Here is a 15,550-nt window from a genome sequence, read left to right on the forward strand (position 1 = left end):
TGAGGCCTATAATATAATTGCATCTGCTCAATTCTGCTTGTCTTAATCCCTTAAAGGTGTGGATCCTGACCAGGTGCGGTGGCTCACACCGGTCATCCCAGCATTCTGGGAGGCTGAGGTGGGAGGATCTCTTGAGCCCACGAGTTCAAGACTAGCCTGGGCAATATAGTGAGACCCACATCTCTAAAAAACTAAAAATAAATGAGCCGGGCATGGTGGTGCATGCCTGTGGTCCCAGCTACTTGGGAGGCTGAGGTGGGAGAATCGCTTGGGCCCAGGAAGCTGAGACGGCATTGATCTTGCCACTGCACTCCGGCCTGGGCAACAGAGTGAGACCCTGTCTCAAAAAAAAAAAGTGTGGATCCCCAACAAACTTGCTGCAAAACCCTATCTCGAGTCCCATTTCCCAGAGGACCTGATCTAAAAGAAACAATAATAAATAGTAACAATGTTAAAAGTTACAAAATGACCGTATCACACATTCCTGCATGCCAGGAATGACTGAGTGCTTTACTGATATTTACACATAGGTAAACACGTTTGCATTGGCTGAAGTGTTCATAACCCCATAGTCTCTGAGCACTGTACTGTGAGGACAAGACGAGCGAAAGATGAGGCTAGGACCATGGGTGGAACAAGGTGGACAAGGTAGATATAGTTAGTGCTTGCTGTTTGGCAGGAAGTGAGGGATAGGAATAGATGGGGTGACCCCAAGACAGTAGGGCAGCCTTTAGGAACAGGTTTGATGTGGCAGTAAAATGAGTTTGAAATATATAAAAGAATAAATAAAGAGAAAAAAATGGAAAAGGAACAGGTTTGAGGGAGCAGATTGGATTAGTCAGGTAGTGTGGTCTCCTCTCCCAAGATGGGGACTAGGCAGAGTTAGTGATGTTGGGGCAGATTGGCAAGGAAAGTTCCGATGGCGTCCCCTTCTCTACTGCCAGGGCGGCCCACTGACGCCCTTCTCATTCCTCCCCAACTTCATCCCAACTCCCCGGTCTACCCAGGTAGTTTTCGTCTTATTCGGAGGCTGGACATTTGCTACTGGTCCCTGAAGTTTTGCGGCTGCACCCACAGACAGCAATAGCGCCACGTTCCCTGGAAGGCGCACGGGACGGAAGCGGAAGCAGTAACGCTGGCTCCGGCTGCCCGGCGGCCAGGAACGGAAGCGGAAGTGGCGGCGGCGCCGGCCTGGCCTGGCCTGGCTGAGGGGAGGCGGCGGGCGGGCGCGATGGCGGAGGCCGGGCCACAGGCGCCGCCGCCCCCGGGCACTCCAAGCCGGCACGAAAAGAGCCTGGGACTGCTCACCACCAAGTTCGTGTCCCTTCTGCAGGAGGCCAAGGACGGCGTGCTTGACCTCAAGCTGGTGCGGCCTGGGCTAAGGGGAGACAAGGGAGGCTGGTGGACCAGGCCTGGGCCGGTAGCGGGAACCCCGGGGGCGGCCCAGCTGGGTCCTCCGAGAGCCGGCCGCCATCGTGTGCTTTCTCACAGGAGAGAAGCCGGGGGATGTTTCATTCATTCGGCCGAGGCCATCGAGCTACAGCTATGGGCCAGGCTCGGGCTGCAGGTGTTCGTCCTCGTGGCCCTTCCTGGCTGGCGAGGAGAAGAGCTGCCTATGGGACAGAGCTGCGGTCCTGAGCTGCAGTAGCGCCTGGGAGGCACTACAGGGTTGGAATCCAGATTACTCCCTTCCCAGACCACGTCTCAGGGTGGCTGGGGGTACACCCCAGAGTGGGGCTGAGCATTCTCCATTCTCTCTGCCAGGCAGCTGACACCCTAGCTGTACGCCAGAAGCGGCGGATTTACGACATTACCAATGTTTTGGAAGGTATCGGGCTAATCGAGAAAAAGTCCAAGAACAGCATCCAGTGGAAGTGAGTGGGCATAGTGGGAGGGTAGTAGAGTCTCCCACCCAGAAGTGTCGGGCGTGGGGTGGAGGGTGCCGAAGAAGGCAGGGGCCATGGGACCCAGAGTTCTCAGCAGTCCCTCTCAGCCCCACTCCCTGGGCTCAGGGGTGTGGGGCCTGGCTGCAATACCCGGGAGATTGCTGACAAACTGATTGAGCTCAAGGCAGAGATCGAGGAGCTGCAGCAGCGGGAGCAAGAACTAGACCAGCACAAGGTGTGGGTGCAGCAGAGCATCCGGAACGTCACAGAGGACGTGCAGAACAGCTGATATCCTCCTGGCGGTCCCTGCTGGGGGGAGTGGGCAAGGGGCCCTCTGGTTCAACTTGCCCTGAGTCCTGTTCCTCTTGGGAGTTTGTCTTATAGCCACTGGCCATGGCCCAGCCTCAGGCTCCCTCCTCAGAGCCCCTCCCCTTCCACTCTTAGCCTGTGATCCCTCCCCCGGTGGACCTGAGTCCCCAGAACGGTCTCTGAGGGCCTGTGTGTCAGACCTTAGCTAAAGAATTGGGTCTTTTCTGTAGTCTGCCATCTGTCACCATAGGGCATCAGCCATTCTCCTTAACCCTCACACTTTGGCCTACGTCACTCATGAGGACATCTGCAGATGCTTTGCTGGTGAGCAGAGCCTGGGTAGGGGTAAGGGGGTGGGCTGGGCTCAGCCAAAGTCCTGAGCACTGGGCTCAGTGTCTTAGGAGAGTTCTGTCTCTTAAGAGGGTTTCTGGGGCCTGCTCAGAGAGGAACCAGGCAGGGTAAGTCTTCTGTCTGAGTGTCACTGGGACCCTGTGGAGGTCAGCTATACCAAAAGGGTACAGAAATTCTGGAGTGGGTCCCTGGGTCTGTTCCCATCTCTACTGTTTCCTGGATTTGGCTTCTTGGGTATGATAGAGGCACAAGGGGGAGAGAGGGAGAGAGGATATGTGTGTATTTGCTTGTGTGCAGGCTCTTACATGCAGGGCATGGGGGTGCCCACTTCCAACTTGTTAGTTTAGTTGCATTGTGAATACAGGATCTGTTCCTTTTTTTTTCTTTTTAAGAGATGGGCTCTTGCTGTGTTGCCCAGGCTGGTCTTGAACTCCTGAGCTCAAGCTGTCTTCCCTCCTCAACCCCCTAAAGTGCTGGGATTATGGGTGTGAGCCACTGTGCCCCGCTGATGTGTTTCTTCTCCATCTTGTATGCTCCTGACTGGTCATGGGAAAGGGATGTTGGCCTTGGCTAGAACACCCTCACCTAGGGATCAGCCATCGGTAGAGGAATGAGGTGCCTGTGGCCAGTGATCTTTCACTCCACATAATTGAACCCAGATTTCCTGGTTACTGACCCTGGGCTCTCAGGAAGAGAAGAGCTTTAGCTCTGCCTGGCCACTATGGGGGATGGGTGAGGCCCACTGTCTAGTTCCTCAGGGACCGTGATCTCCTGCCTTGCTCCAAAAGGCAGGCACCTCTGTTCCCAGCTCAGATTGAGCCCATGGGCTCTGACCCATTCTCCATGTCATTCTAGGAGATACCCTCTTGGCCATCCGGGCCCCATCAGGCACCAGCCTGGAGGTGCCCATCCCAGAGGTGGGTGCTTAGCCCAGGCAGGCGGGGTCAGCTGAGGGCGGGTGCTGGCTGTGGAGCCTGATAAGTCCTGGGTGGGGCAAGTAGGGGGAGGCCTGGAGTTTGGGGTTATCTAGGAGGATGGGCATCCTGGGTGGGAGAGGACACTGTGGTCCTGACCCGGAGTCGGGCAGGAGCCAAGCCTGCTTACAATTCTACCCATCTCCCATCCCTTACCACCCATCTCTAGGGTCTCAATGGGCAGAAGAAGTACCAGATTCACCTGAAGAGTGTGAGTGGTCCCATTGAGGTTCTGCTGGTGAACAAGGAGGCATGGAGCTCACCCCCTGTGGCTGTGCCTGTGCCACCACCTGAAGATTTGCTCCAGAGCCCATCTGCTGTTTCTACACCTCCACCTCTGCCCAAGCCTGCCCTAGCCCAGTCCCAGGAAGCCTCACGTCCAAATAGTCCTCAGCTCACTCCCACTGCTGTCCCTGGCAGTGCAGAAGTCCAGGGAATGGCTGGCCCAGCAGCTGAGATCACAGGTGAGGCACCATGGGAGCTTGTGACAGAGGCCCAAGAGGTAGTATCTCTGTGTTGTGGAACACCATGCTCAGAGTTGGAAGAGACTCTTCAGGTTGGGGATTGTCCTTTTCCTGACCACCTAGCCTTCCCTTGCTATGGTAATGAATGAGCCTTTTTTGTTTTTGTTTTTGAGACGGAGTCTCACTGTGTCCCCCAGGCTGGAGTGTGCAATGGCGCGATCTTGGCTCACTGCAACCTCTGCCTCCCAAGCTCAAGAAATTTTCCTGCCTTAGCCTCCTGAGTAGCTGGGATTACAGGCGCCCACCATGCGCAGCTAATTCTCGTACTTCTAATAGAGATGGGGTTTCACCATGTTGGCCAGGCTGGTTTCGAACTCCTGACCTCAAATGATCTGCCTGCCTCGGCCTCCTGTAGTGCTGGGATTACAGGCTTGAACCACCATGCCTGCCTGAATGGGCCCTTTTTAACAGGGAACCTCTGACTGTGGGAAGAGCCATTGCTGGTGGCAGTTTTCTCCCCCAGATCCACATCCACTGGTGTCTCAATTGCCCTGGTAGCCCGTCTTGAAGTATGGCCACAGCAGACATGTTGACCACGAGTCTTCTTCTGTAGGTCTTGTGTCCCTGTCTCCTGTGGTGACTAATTTCAGGTTACTTCCTCTGGGGGTGACTGGCAATGCCTAATTCTCCTTGGGTCTGGGAACCAGGCTTGTGGTCCTCCTGTGTCTGGGTTCCAGCACAGCCAGTTTCAACGACCTCTTCCTGACCTTGTATGACTGGGTTTGGGGGCTATCATTGTAGTGAGTGGCGGCCCTGGGACTGATAGCAAGGACAGTGGTGAGCTCAGTTCACTCCCACTGGGCCCAACAACACTGGACACCCGGCCACTGCAGTCTTCTGCCCTGCTGGACAGCAGCAGCAGCAGCAGCAGCAGCAGCAGCAGCAGCAGCAACAGTAACAGCAGCAGTTCGTCCGGACCCAACCCTTCTACCTCCTTTGAGCCCATCAAGGCAGACCCCACAGGTGGTGAGTACCTGCCCCCTGGGGGCAGAGAGAGAGAGTCTAGCCTCAGTCCAGTCCTAGGTCAGAAAACAGAATTGGGGATGGAACCCAGATCTCCTGTCAACCCTGCTGGACACGAGAGCTCTCTGCCAGCACCTCTGGGTCAGTGCTGGTGCCCCCTCTAGCACCCCATCCTAGGCTAACACAGAACTCCCTGCCGTCTCTCAAGCCCTTTCCTGCCACCCCTTGGAGCACCGCCTCACTAATTGACACTTCTCTGTATCACTCTCTCTCATCTTCTCTGTCTCCTTTCTGTCTGGACTCCTTGAAAAAGTAATCTCCATTCATTAGTCTCCTAGTCACCTTTCAGGTTGCAGCAGTCACCCCCCCAGCCCCAGTGTTACAGCGGTGTTACTCTTGAGAAGCTGCCGAAGGCCTGCCGAGCCCAGCAGCCTCCAGCGTGTTTTGCTGGTGCTCTCTTGGTCTGTGTCAATATTCTTTCCTCCTTTGGCATCATGATGCCAGCTTTTGGCTCTCCTATCTCACTGGCTTCTTGAACTCTTCCCTGGCGTGTCCTTAAACATTGCTGTTTTTGAGGGCTCTGTCCCATTCCACTCCTGGAGAGGGCTGCAGCTCTGGGTGAACGAATCCCCAGCCTCCGCCTGGCCTAGATCTTTTCCCAATCTGCACACTTCGGTGTCCACCTGCCGTCCTGTGTACATCCAATGGACACTTTATTCCTGCATGTCCTCAACTGAACTTAGTTTCCTCCCGAAGCTTGCTTTCCACCTCTGCGCACCCAGCCGTCAGCCCTAGTTATCCAGGCCTGACCCTTGGCTCTCACTCTAGTTCTAGTTCCTTATCCCTCCTCCTTCTGCTGCCCACCCCATGCCAGCTAACTGAGGTCTGTCCCAGATGTCCCCTCCTATCCTCTGGTATCCTCAGCACTCAGGATGACCCCTGGCCACCTCTGTCCTGGATTCTTCAGCATCTTTCTCTTTACCCTGACTGACAGACTAATCTTTCTGAAATGCAGGCCTGACAGAAAAATGTGGCATTTCTCTGTTTGCAAAAGTACCTTTAATGGCTCCTTGAGGGCCACCAGATAAGATCTGAACTCCTGAGCCTGGCATGTGAAATCCCTCATAGTCCTCTCTGGTTGCATTTTCTTCTGCTTCCCCTGTGTCCTCCTGGCCAGAGGTTTGTAGTGGAGTCATCACCCTGTAGCGCCACCACCTCTGCCTGGTGACCTGACCCAGGGTCTGGTCTCAGTCTTGCACAGAGCAGGTGCTCAGCAAGGGTGGGACAGATGGGGTACCTTCTGTCAGACAGGGGGTGCATGCTGAGCCCAGAAAGAGGCTTCTGTGGCCTTTCCGAGTTAGAAAAGCTGTACCAATCGCTTGCAGGGGGCCTTTGGTACCCTGGGCTCAGCACTGAGGAATTCAGGTTTAGCAAGTGAGGCCAACAGACAGTGCCAGCTTGGCCTAGGCAGGACCTACATCTCCTTAGCTGTGTGGAGCCTCAGGGTGGGTGGTATAGGATCCGAGGAAGCCAGGGGGCTGTAGTGGGGCCAGGCTGGACCTCTGTGCCCTGAGCATGGCTTTCTTGTTTTTCAGTTTTGGAACTCCCCAAAGAGCTGTCAGAAATCTTTGATCCCACACGAGGTAGGCTGCTGCATTCCTCCCTGAGGCTAGGGGTAAGGGACACAGCTCATTGGGTCCTATGGCTGTTTTCTTGCCCTTTTGAGGACCTTGTTGTGGCGCTTATGGTAACTGGGGCAAAGGGTGAAGTTCCTGATGGGCAGGTGGGGTTCCCTTTCCTGGGCTTTGGTGGGTGGAGAGGTGGGAGCTGGAATGTTAGTAACTGAGCTCCCTCCATTCCCAGAGTGCATGAGCTCGGAGCTGCTGGAGGAGTTGATGTCCTCAGAAGGTGGGTGGCCCTGGAAGGTGGGAGTGGGTGTGGGCAGGGGTTGGGCTGCTGCTAGGGGAGCCCTGGCCCAGGGCCTGAGACTAGTGCTCTCTGCAGTGTTTGCCCCTCTGCTTCGTCTTTCTCCACCCCCGGGAGACCACGATTATATCTACAACCTGGACGAGAGTGAAGGTGTCTGTGACCTCTTTGATGTGCCTGTTCTCAACCTCTGACTGACAGGGACATGCCCTGTGTGGCTGGGACCCAGACTGTCTGACCTGGGGGTTGCCTGGGGACCTCTCCCACCCGACCCCTACAGAGCTTGAGAGCCACAGACGCCTGGCTTCTCCGGCCTCCCCTCACCGCACAGTTCTGGCCACAGCTCCCGCTCCTGTGCTGGCACTTCTGTGCTCGCAGAGCAGGGGAACAGGACTCAGCCCCCATCACCGTGGAGCCAAAGTGTTTGCTTCTCCCTTTCTGCGGCCTTCGCCAGCCCAGGCTCGGCTGCCACCCAGTGGCACAGAACCGAGGAGCTGCCATTACCCCCCATAGGGGGCAGTGTCTTGTTCCTGCCAGCCTCAGTGTCTTGCTTCTGCCAGCTCCTTCCCCTAGGAGGGAAGGGTGGGGTGGAACTGGGCACATGCCAGCACCACTTCTAGCTTCCTTCGCTATCCCCCACCCCCTGACCCTCCAGCTCCTCCTGGCCCTCTCACGTGCCCACTTCTGCTGGGCCTTTAGCCCTAGAACCTGCAGGTGGTGGGGGCGGCTACCAAGAAGGAACAGAGGTCTCTGGGGAGGAGTCTGGGTGGTCCAGCCCTGATGATTGGCCCCACCTCCTGCTGCCCCATAACCCTCTCTTCATTTCGGCTTTTTCATTTACCCTCATTTAGAGCCATTTGCAGAGATTTAGAAAGATTTACAGTAACGAATGGATTCCTATATAAAGATTATTTTTATACTTTTTGCAGCAAAAGGAAATTGTAATATTTGTACAGTGTTCAAGTGAATAAAAACCATGCCTAAGGCTAGCTCTGATGTGGTTCTTTGGGGACCCTCCTTGGGACTGTGCTGGACTGGCAGTGTGATTGGGTGGGTCACCTTGCTGGAACTAGGGGTGGGGCGGCCTCCGGCAGCCTGCCCTCCCCGCCCCCACCTGCCGCACCTTGGTGTGGGGCGGGGCCGCCTCGGCGGGGCGGGGCAGGCGGAGCCGTCCTACCTTCCTACCCCCAGACTCCAACCCGGAACTAACCTCGGCTCCCTTGGGAAGGCCGCGTTGCATGGCCAGGAGCAGCAGTCTGGGCCGCGAGTGCGGGACACCGAGGTCAGGTCTCGGAAAGGGAGGACCTCCTCGTCCCCAGGGGCCCCAGGCCAGGTGCACCCTTGGCCGCAGGTGCACGGTCTCCGGAAAGTGCAGGCGCCCACGTCCCAGCTGGACCATGGCGCCTCCGCGGAACGTGGTGAAGATTGCCATCAAGATGCGTGACGCCATCCCGCAGCTCATCCAGCTGGACCAGGTCACCCGGCTGGTCCCGCCTCCATCTGCCCCACTGCCCCACCTCCCGGTAGCCCCCTGGCCCTCGGGGCAGCCCGCCCCACCCCTCCCCCCAGGCTCCTCCCCATCCCTCCCTGCCCAGGCCGCGAGAATGACCACTCCACTTGCAGGCGAAGCCCCTGGCCGCTGTGCTGAAGGAGGTGTGCGACGCGTGAGTGCTGCCGGGCCAGGGCCTGCGGAGGGCGGGAGGGCAGGAGGGGCGGCGCCCCCTGCCGGCCTCGCTGAGCCTCGTGCCCCTCAGGTGGAGCCTGACGCACTCTGAGCGTTACGCCCTGCAGTTTGCGGATGGGCACCGGAGATACATCACCGAGAATGTGAGTCCCCTCTCCCCAGCCCCAAGCTCGGCCTTCCGACCCCTCTAACCCACCTGGCCCCGATAACTCTGGCTCTTCATCCCACTACCGGAGCGCGATCTGTTATTCACCCCCAGCCGCCCTCACCGACACCCCAGTTGATCAGTCCTCGGAGCCCTCCCTGACCTCGCTGCCTTTTCTGCTGTCTTCTCCAGAACCGCGCGGAGATCAAGAATGGCAGCATCCTGTGCCTCAGCACGGCCCCAGTAATGCCCCTCCCGTCCCGCCTTCCCCATCCCTGCCCCTTTGCTCCAGGTCCAGAGGCCCCCCGCCCCGGAGGCCCCCGCCCCAGCCCTGCCTTGCGCCACCTAGTTGACGCCCGGGGCCGCACACTTCCAGGTCCCACCCTTACCATGCCCAGCCTCTTCACCTCTGCTCCTGCTCCGTTCCTGCCAGGACCTTGAGGCTGAGCAGCTCTTGGGTGGGCTGCAGAGTAACAGTCCTGAAGGGCGCCGGGAAGCCCTGAGGCGCCTTGTTCCGCTGGCCTCGGACATGATCTTTGCCAGGGAGGTCATCAGCCGTAATGGGCTCCAGATACTAGGCACCATCATTGAAGATGGGGACGAGTGAGCACAGGGATGTGTGGGCTGGGGGAGATGGTGGGTCTTTCTGGTCCTGGGGTGGTCCTGCTCAGCCCCAGATGTCCCCCCTCCAGCCTAGGAGAGGTGCTGGCCCTCAGCCTGAGGGCCTTCTCAGAGCTCATGGAGCACGGCGTGGTGTCCTGGGAGACTCTGAGCATCCCCTTTGTGAGGAAGGTGGGTGGGCTTTCCTAGGGCAGCGGGTGGGGGCAGTGGAGCAGTGGGGCAGTGGTAGACCCGGTCTTCCATGGGGGTGAGGTGGTGACACCCCCGCCCCTTACAGGTGGTGTGCTACGTGAACATGAACCTCATGGATGCCTCCGTGCCTCCCCTGGCCCTTGGGCTGCTGGAGAGTGTGACCTTGAGCAGCCCAGCCCTGGGCCAGCTGGTCAAGAGCGAGGTGCCCCTGGATAGGCTGCTGGTGCACCTACAGGTGTAAGCCTCTGGGGCTGGGGTCCAGATGCAGGGAGCAGGGCTGGAGCCTGAATGTTCCACTGAGCCCTCTTCTTGCCATAGGATGAACCAGCAGCTGCAAACCAAGGCCATGGCCCTGCTGACAGCCTTGCTGCAGGGGGCCAGCCCTGTGGAACGCAAGGTGAGTGTCGATCGGTGGCTAGATGGGGGCAGCACCCGGTGGGCGCTGCCCCACCCTGAAGCAAAATCCTCTAAGCCCCCCTTTTTTTTTTTTTTGAGATGGAGTCTTGCTCTGTCGCCCAGGCTGGAGTGCAGTGGTGCGATCTTGGCTCACTGCAAGCTCTGCCTCCCGGGTTCACACCATTCTCCTGCCTCAGCCTCCCGAGTAGCTGGGACTACAGGCTCCCGCCACCACGCCCAGCTGATTTTTTTTTTTTTTTTTTTTTTTTTAAGTAGAGACGGGGTTTCACTGTGTTAGCCAGGTTGGCCTCCATCTCCTGACCTCGTGATCCGCCCGCCTTGGCCTCCCAAAGTGCTGGGATTACAGGCGTGAGCCACCGCGCCCAGCCTAAGCCCCCTTTCTTTCTACCCCCTCAGCACATGCTTGACTATCTTTGGCAGAGGAACCTTCGCCAGTTCATCTATAAGGTAGGAAGTGGTGGGCCAGGGGGACCTCTCTGCCCCTCCCTCCCCGTGAGCCCTCGCTTACACCAGGGACTGGCTGTCCTGCAGAACATCATCCACAGTGCAGCACCAATGGGCGACGAGATGGCTCATCACCTGTACGTACTGCAGGCTCTCATGCTGGGGCTGCTGGAGCCGCGCATGCGGACGCCCCTGGACCCCTACAGCCAGGTGTGTGTCTTTGGTGAGGACAAGGCAGGGGGTGGCTTAGAGCTTGGCCTTGAATCTATAATCTTGATCCCCTCCCCCGCCACCCAACACTGACCCCAGGAGCAGCGGGAGCAGCTGCAGGTCCTACGCCAGGCTGCCTTCGAGGTGGAGGGGGAGTCCTCGGGTGCCGGGCTAAGTGCTGACCGTCGCCGTTCCCTCTGTGCCCGAGAGTTCCGCAAACTGGGCTTTTCTGTGAGTATCACCCCTACCCAACTCCCCACCCCTGCCTCAGCCCAGGGCTGTTGTTCCAGGCGGCCGTGGCCCTTCTTGAACTGCCTGTGCCCACTTCCCCCAGAACAGCAACCCAGCACAGGACCTGGAGCGCGTGCCCCCCGGTCTGCTGGCCCTGGACAACATGTTGTACTTCTCCAGAAACGCGCCCAGCGCGTACAGCCGGGTCGGTGACAGGGTAGGGTGGGGGGGTGGCAGCATCCCCCAGGCAGGGTCCCCATGGGCTTAGCTGTGACTCCTTGCCCCATTCTCTGCGCCCCCAGTTTGTGTTGGAGAACAGCAGCCGCGAGGACAAGCACGAGTGCCCCTTTGCCCGGGGCAGCATCCAGCTGACGGTGCTGCTGTGTGAGCTGCTCCGTGTTGGGGAGCCCTGTGAGTGGCCTGGACTGGGCACAGCATGGCCAAGAGCAGGGGACGGAAGGGCAGAGAGGGCCAGGGGCTGTATGCACTTTCTCCCTGAGCCCCTCCTGCCCCCCCACTCCAGGCTCTGAGACAGCCCAGGACTTCTCACCCATGTTCTTCGGCCAAGACCAGAGCTTCCACGAGCTCTTCTGTGTGGGCATCCAGCTGTTGAATAAGACCTGGAAGGAGATGCGGGCTACACAGGAGGACTTCGACAAGGTGGGTGGGGTGGGAGCTGGGAGGCCTGGGCCAGGGCAGGGGGCTGATCTGGGTACAGAGCTTAGGCCCTGAGCTGAGCTTGGGCGGCCCCAGGTCATGCAGGTGGTGCGGGAGCAGCTGGCCCGCACTCTGGCCCTGAAGCCCACTTCCCTGGAGCTCTTCCGAACCAAGGTGAATGCGCTCACTTATGGGGAGGTGCTGCGGCTGCGGCAGACTGAACGGCTGCACCAGGAGGGCACACTGGCTCCCCCTATACTGTGAGTCTGGGGGGATGGATCCTCAGTCCTAGCCCTACCTTCCTTGGTGCCCCCTGGGCTACTCCCCAGGTCAGATGTGCTCAGTGACACCCCTCTATCAGGGAGCTGCGGGAGAAGCTGAAGCCAGAGCTCATGGGCCTGATCCGCCAGCAGCGCTTGCTCCGCCTCTGTGAGGGGACGCTCTTCCGCAAGATCAGCAGCCGGCGGCGCCAGGGTCTCTGAATGGGCATGGGCAGGGGGCAGAGGGCAGGCAGAGGGCAGGCAGAGGGCGGCTGGCTTGGTGTCAGGACCTCTCAGCACTCTGGCCCTCTTCCCTTTCTCCACGCAGATAAGCTGTGGTTCTGCTGCCTGTCCCCCAACCACAAGCTGCTGCAGTACGGAGACATGGAGGAGGGCGCCAGCCCGCCTACCCTGGAGAGTCTGCCCGAGCAACGTAAGGCGGGCAGGGGCGGGGGCCAGATACCTGCTCTCCCCAGACCGCCCTGGGCCCCGGGGCTGCCAGGGCTGCAGTGCTCAGCCCAGCCTTCTTCCTGCAGTCCCTGTGGCCGACATGAGGGCACTCCTGACAGGCAAGGACTGCCCCCATGTCCGGGAGAAGGGCTCCGGGAAGCAGAACAAGGTGAGTACAGCGGGCCAGGGGCTCCTTCCCACCCGCCCCCGCCTACCCTGTCCCCTGCTCAGTGTCCCCGCTCCCTTGCTTCCCCAGGACCTCTATGAGTTGGCCTTCTCAATCAGCTATGACCGTGGGGAGGAGGAAGCGTACCTCAACTTCATTGCCCCCTCCAAGCGGGAGGTGAGTGTCCGCCAGGCTGAGGTCGGCAGGTGGGCAGGGGAGGCAGATGGGCAGACCCTCACGGCTCTGTGCCACCCCCAGTTCTACCTGTGGACAGATGGGCTCAGTGCCTTGCTGGGCAGTCCCATGGGCAGCGAGCAGACACGGCTGGACCTGGAGCAGCTGCTGACCATGGAGACCAAGCTGCGTCTGCTGGAGCTGGAGAACGTGCCCATCCCCGAGCGGCCACCCCCTGTGCCCCCACCCCCCACCAACTTCAACTTCTGCTATGACTGCAGCATCGCTGAACCTTGACAGTGTGGCTGGCCATGGGCCACAGCTGCGGCCACTGCAGCAGCCATGAAGGGCAGTGGGTAGAGGAGTGCAGGCACCCTGACCAGCAGAGATTGCTGCAGAAATAAAGTCTGCTTGGCTCTTGGGATATGTTGAGCCAGCTCTGTACCTTGCGGGCTGAGCCTGTGACAGTGACAGTCTTCCCCTTCTGCCTTCAAACTTAGCTGGTGGATAAGATGGGGCATCAGGCCAGGCCACAAACTTTGACAGCTACGGTTGAGGGGCTGGTGTTCTGAAGGGGGTGGGGAGAGGCTGGGACTGCAGCCTTTCTCCAAGGTGAGTCCTCAGCCTCCCTCCATGCTGGGCCTGCAGGGAGGGTTGGCCTGTGGTCTGGGGGCACCTGCCAAGGGAGAGGCTGAGCTGCCGGCCTGCTGCAGGAGAACTGGCAGGGTAGGAGGCACTGCCCCAAATGGATGCCTTCCTGGACAGCGTTAACAGGGGCGTAGTCTGGGAGCCATCTCCAGAAGGCTCCTGACAATCTGACCTCAGTCCTCAAGCTTGCATGGCCCTGCCTGGTGTCCTTTGTAGGACTTGGAGTTCTCTGGTGAGAGGCATGAAGGGAGAGAGGCAGAAGGGCAGGGTCAGGATCCCCAGGCTGGTAGGAGGATGTGGGCTGATTCCAACAAGAGCCACTTCTGTGCAGGAAGACCCGGTTTCTGATTAAAACCTAACTCAGGGCCGGGCTTGGCTCACGCCTGTAATCCCAGCACTGTGGGAGGCTGAGGCAGTCCGATCACCTGAGGTCAGGAGTTCAAGACCAGCCTGGGCAATATGGTGAAACCCCGTCTCTACTAAAAATATAACAATTAGCTGGGTGTGGTCGAGCACACCTGTAATCCCAGCTATTCGGGAGGCTGAGGCAGGAGAATCGCTTGAACCCGGGAGGCGGAGGTTGCACCGAGCTGAGATTGCACCACTGCACTCCAGCCTGAGCGACAGAATGAGACTCCATCTCAAAAAACAAATTAAAAATCTAACTCAGAACCATGGGTAGGGTGGGGGCCATAGACAGGCCAGAGCCCCTGGGGGCAGAAGCATCGAGGAGTATTGGGCCCAGCTGGAGGTTTGGTCACAGGGGCAGAGGCTGTGATCACAGACCCCAAGCCCGTGAGGAAAGAAGAGCCTATAAGTCTGTGGAGCTCACAGGATAGGCTGAAGCCACTGCCCCTCAGACTTCCCCCTGCCATTCACCTCTTCTCTCACCAGTGCTACCTCCAATATCTTTTTTTTCTTTTTCTTTTTCTTCTTTTTTTTTTTTGAGATGGAGTTTCACTCTTATTGCCCAGGCTGGAGTGCAATGGTGTGATCTTGGCTCACTGCAACCTCTGCCTCCCAGGTTCAAGCAATTCTCCTGCCTTAGCCTCCCAAGTAGCTGGGATTACAGGCATGCGCCACCATGCCTGGCTAAATTTTTTGTATTTAGTAGAGACAGGGTTTCACCATGTTAGTCAGGCTGGTCTCTAACTCCTGACCTCAAGTGATCCACCCACCTCGGCCTCCCAAAGTGCTGGGATTACAGGCATGAGCCACCGCACCTGTCTCCAATACTTTTTTGTTTGTTTTGTTTTTTGTTTGTTTTTTTGAGATGAAGTTTTGCTCTTGTTGCTCAGGCTGGAGTGCAATGGCACCATCTTGGCTCACCATACCCTCTGCCTCCCGGGTTCAAGTGATTCTCCTGCCTTAGCCTCCTGAGTAGCTGGGATTACAGGCATGCGCCACCACGCCCGGCTAATTTTGTATTTTTTGTAGAGAAGGGGTTTCTCCATGTTAGTCAGGCTGGTCTCGAACTCCCAACCTCAGGTGATCTGCCCACCTCGGCCTCCCAAAATGCTGCGATTACAGGCGTGAGCCACCGTGCCTGGCCCCAATACTGTTTTTAACTGTTAACCATCAACCTGGCTGACCTTGAGAACTGATGAAACTCAGTTTCATCCCTCAGTGCTCAGCCCTCAGTGCTGGAGGGCACTTACTCCCCCTCCCCCAGCTAAGCTGCAGATCTTTGGGCATCCAGGGCCCACTATGCCCATGCCTAAGGACTTCCCACCACAAATGGAGCAGTCGGCCATTGAGTTATAGGTGGAAATGGGGGGCAGGGACCCCTGATGCTGTCGGCCTCCCTGTAACTGTCAATTATTCCTTCTTAATGTCTCCAGTCCCTTGTGCATGCCACCATCATAGCAAAAGCCTCCTGACTTCTGGCCTCCTGTCTTGCACTTCCAATCCTCTCAATACCAGCTACCCCAACTGCTTTCTCCGACATAAATCTGATCATACACACACACAAACATCCCATATATTTGATGTCACCCTATCCATGTCCATGGGTTAATGGCCACAGTTTCCATGGCTGAGCCTGAGTTGAGCCAGGTGAGTCTCAGACATACCGTGGTTTAGCCCTTCCACCTGAGCACCTGTGGCTTGCAGGGTTCTCGATGCTTGGTCTGAGCTGGCATCCTCCCTGCCTAGACTACCCCCTCAGTGCCAGCTCTGGCCTGCCTGTGTGCGTCCCCACAGTGCCTTCTACCTGGATCACCCCCTTCCTTTCTTCTGGCCATTTTCACTGCCCTGATTCCTTCCTGGACCCTCCAGGCCCAATTTGTTGCTCCCTGGGCTCTGGTCCCAGGTGCTTG

The 15,550-nt window shown here is 58.2% G+C and overlaps 2 protein-coding genes and 1 non-coding gene across 5 annotated transcripts, besides 5 other annotated features; 2 read left to right on the forward strand and 1 right to left on the reverse strand.

Moving 5' to 3' along the window:
* Window positions 882-1,812: an enhancer, noted in NCBI's record as "H3K27ac-H3K4me1 hESC enhancer chr16:67225781-67226711 (GRCh37/hg19 assembly coordinates)". NCBI's record gives its function as "activates a minimal SCP1, AML or CMV promoter by ChIP-STARR-seq in naive and primed H9 embryonic stem cells {active_cell/tissue: H9 hESC(naive and primed)}" and the evidence as "EXISTENCE:reporter gene assay evidence [ECO:0000049][PMID:30033119]".
* Window positions 981-1,120: an enhancer, noted in NCBI's record as "active region_10957". NCBI's record gives its function as "activates an Ori minimal core promoter by ATAC-STARR-seq in GM12878 lymphoblastoid cells {active_cell/tissue: GM12878}" and the evidence as "EXISTENCE:reporter gene assay evidence [ECO:0000049][PMID:35858748]".
* Window positions 1,159-7,922, forward strand: E2F4 (E2F transcription factor 4). The gene is made up of 10 exons (NM_001950.4): window positions 1,159-1,366; window positions 1,765-1,874; window positions 2,013-2,174; window positions 2,476-2,519; window positions 3,402-3,463; window positions 3,690-3,984; window positions 4,786-5,010; window positions 6,603-6,650; window positions 6,871-6,915; window positions 7,012-7,922. The coding sequence occupies exons 1-10, from the start codon at window positions 1,232-1,234 to the stop codon at window positions 7,125-7,127; spliced, it is 1,242 nt and encodes a 413-aa protein (NP_001941.2). The 5' UTR covers window positions 1,159-1,231; the 3' UTR covers window positions 7,128-7,922.
* Window positions 1,211-1,400: a silencer, noted in NCBI's record as "silent region_7592". NCBI's record gives its function as "represses an Ori minimal core promoter by ATAC-STARR-seq in GM12878 lymphoblastoid cells {active_cell/tissue: GM12878}" and the evidence as "EXISTENCE:reporter gene assay evidence [ECO:0000049][PMID:35858748]".
* Window positions 2,201-2,310: an enhancer, noted in NCBI's record as "active region_10958". NCBI's record gives its function as "activates an Ori minimal core promoter by ATAC-STARR-seq in GM12878 lymphoblastoid cells {active_cell/tissue: GM12878}" and the evidence as "EXISTENCE:reporter gene assay evidence [ECO:0000049][PMID:35858748]".
* Window positions 7,471-7,530: a silencer, noted in NCBI's record as "silent region_7593". NCBI's record gives its function as "represses an Ori minimal core promoter by ATAC-STARR-seq in GM12878 lymphoblastoid cells {active_cell/tissue: GM12878}" and the evidence as "EXISTENCE:reporter gene assay evidence [ECO:0000049][PMID:35858748]".
* Window positions 7,923-8,134: 212 nt separating the features above from the next.
* On the forward strand, window positions 8,135-13,008 carry ELMO3 (engulfment and cell motility 3). 3 transcript variants are annotated; one of them, NM_024712.5, is made up of 20 exons: window positions 8,135-8,408; window positions 8,557-8,597; window positions 8,688-8,760; window positions 8,955-9,005; window positions 9,196-9,365; window positions 9,455-9,554; window positions 9,661-9,812; window positions 9,894-9,972; window positions 10,389-10,439; window positions 10,524-10,646; window positions 10,746-10,877; window positions 10,981-11,082; window positions 11,180-11,288; window positions 11,401-11,537; window positions 11,631-11,794; window positions 11,896-12,008; window positions 12,123-12,227; window positions 12,331-12,413; window positions 12,501-12,587; window positions 12,669-13,008. In NM_024712.5, the coding sequence occupies exons 1-20, from the start codon at window positions 8,331-8,333 to the stop codon at window positions 12,879-12,881; spliced, it is 2,163 nt and encodes a 720-aa protein (NP_078988.3). In that variant the 5' UTR covers window positions 8,135-8,330; the 3' UTR covers window positions 12,882-13,008. The 3 variants fall into 3 exon arrangements, 2 of the variants coding, with proteins under 2 accessions (NP_078988.3, XP_024306215.1); XR_007064916.1 differs by lacking the exons at window positions 11,631-11,794; window positions 11,896-12,008; window positions 12,669-13,008; XM_024450447.2 differs by lacking the exons at window positions 8,135-8,408; window positions 8,557-8,597; window positions 8,688-8,760; window positions 8,955-9,005; window positions 9,455-9,554 and having other exon boundaries at window positions 9,301-9,365.
* MIR328 (microRNA 328) lies at window positions 11,325-11,399 on the reverse strand. Its single transcript, NR_029887.1, has one exon. It is a non-coding gene; the product is annotated as a microRNA 328 (primary transcript).
* Window positions 13,009-15,550: the final 2,542 nt, after the last annotated feature.

This window comes from Homo sapiens, chromosome 16 (assembly GCF_000001405.40).
Source record: "Homo sapiens chromosome 16, GRCh38.p14 Primary Assembly".
Lineage (NCBI taxonomy): Eukaryota > Metazoa > Chordata > Mammalia > Primates > Hominidae > Homo > Homo sapiens.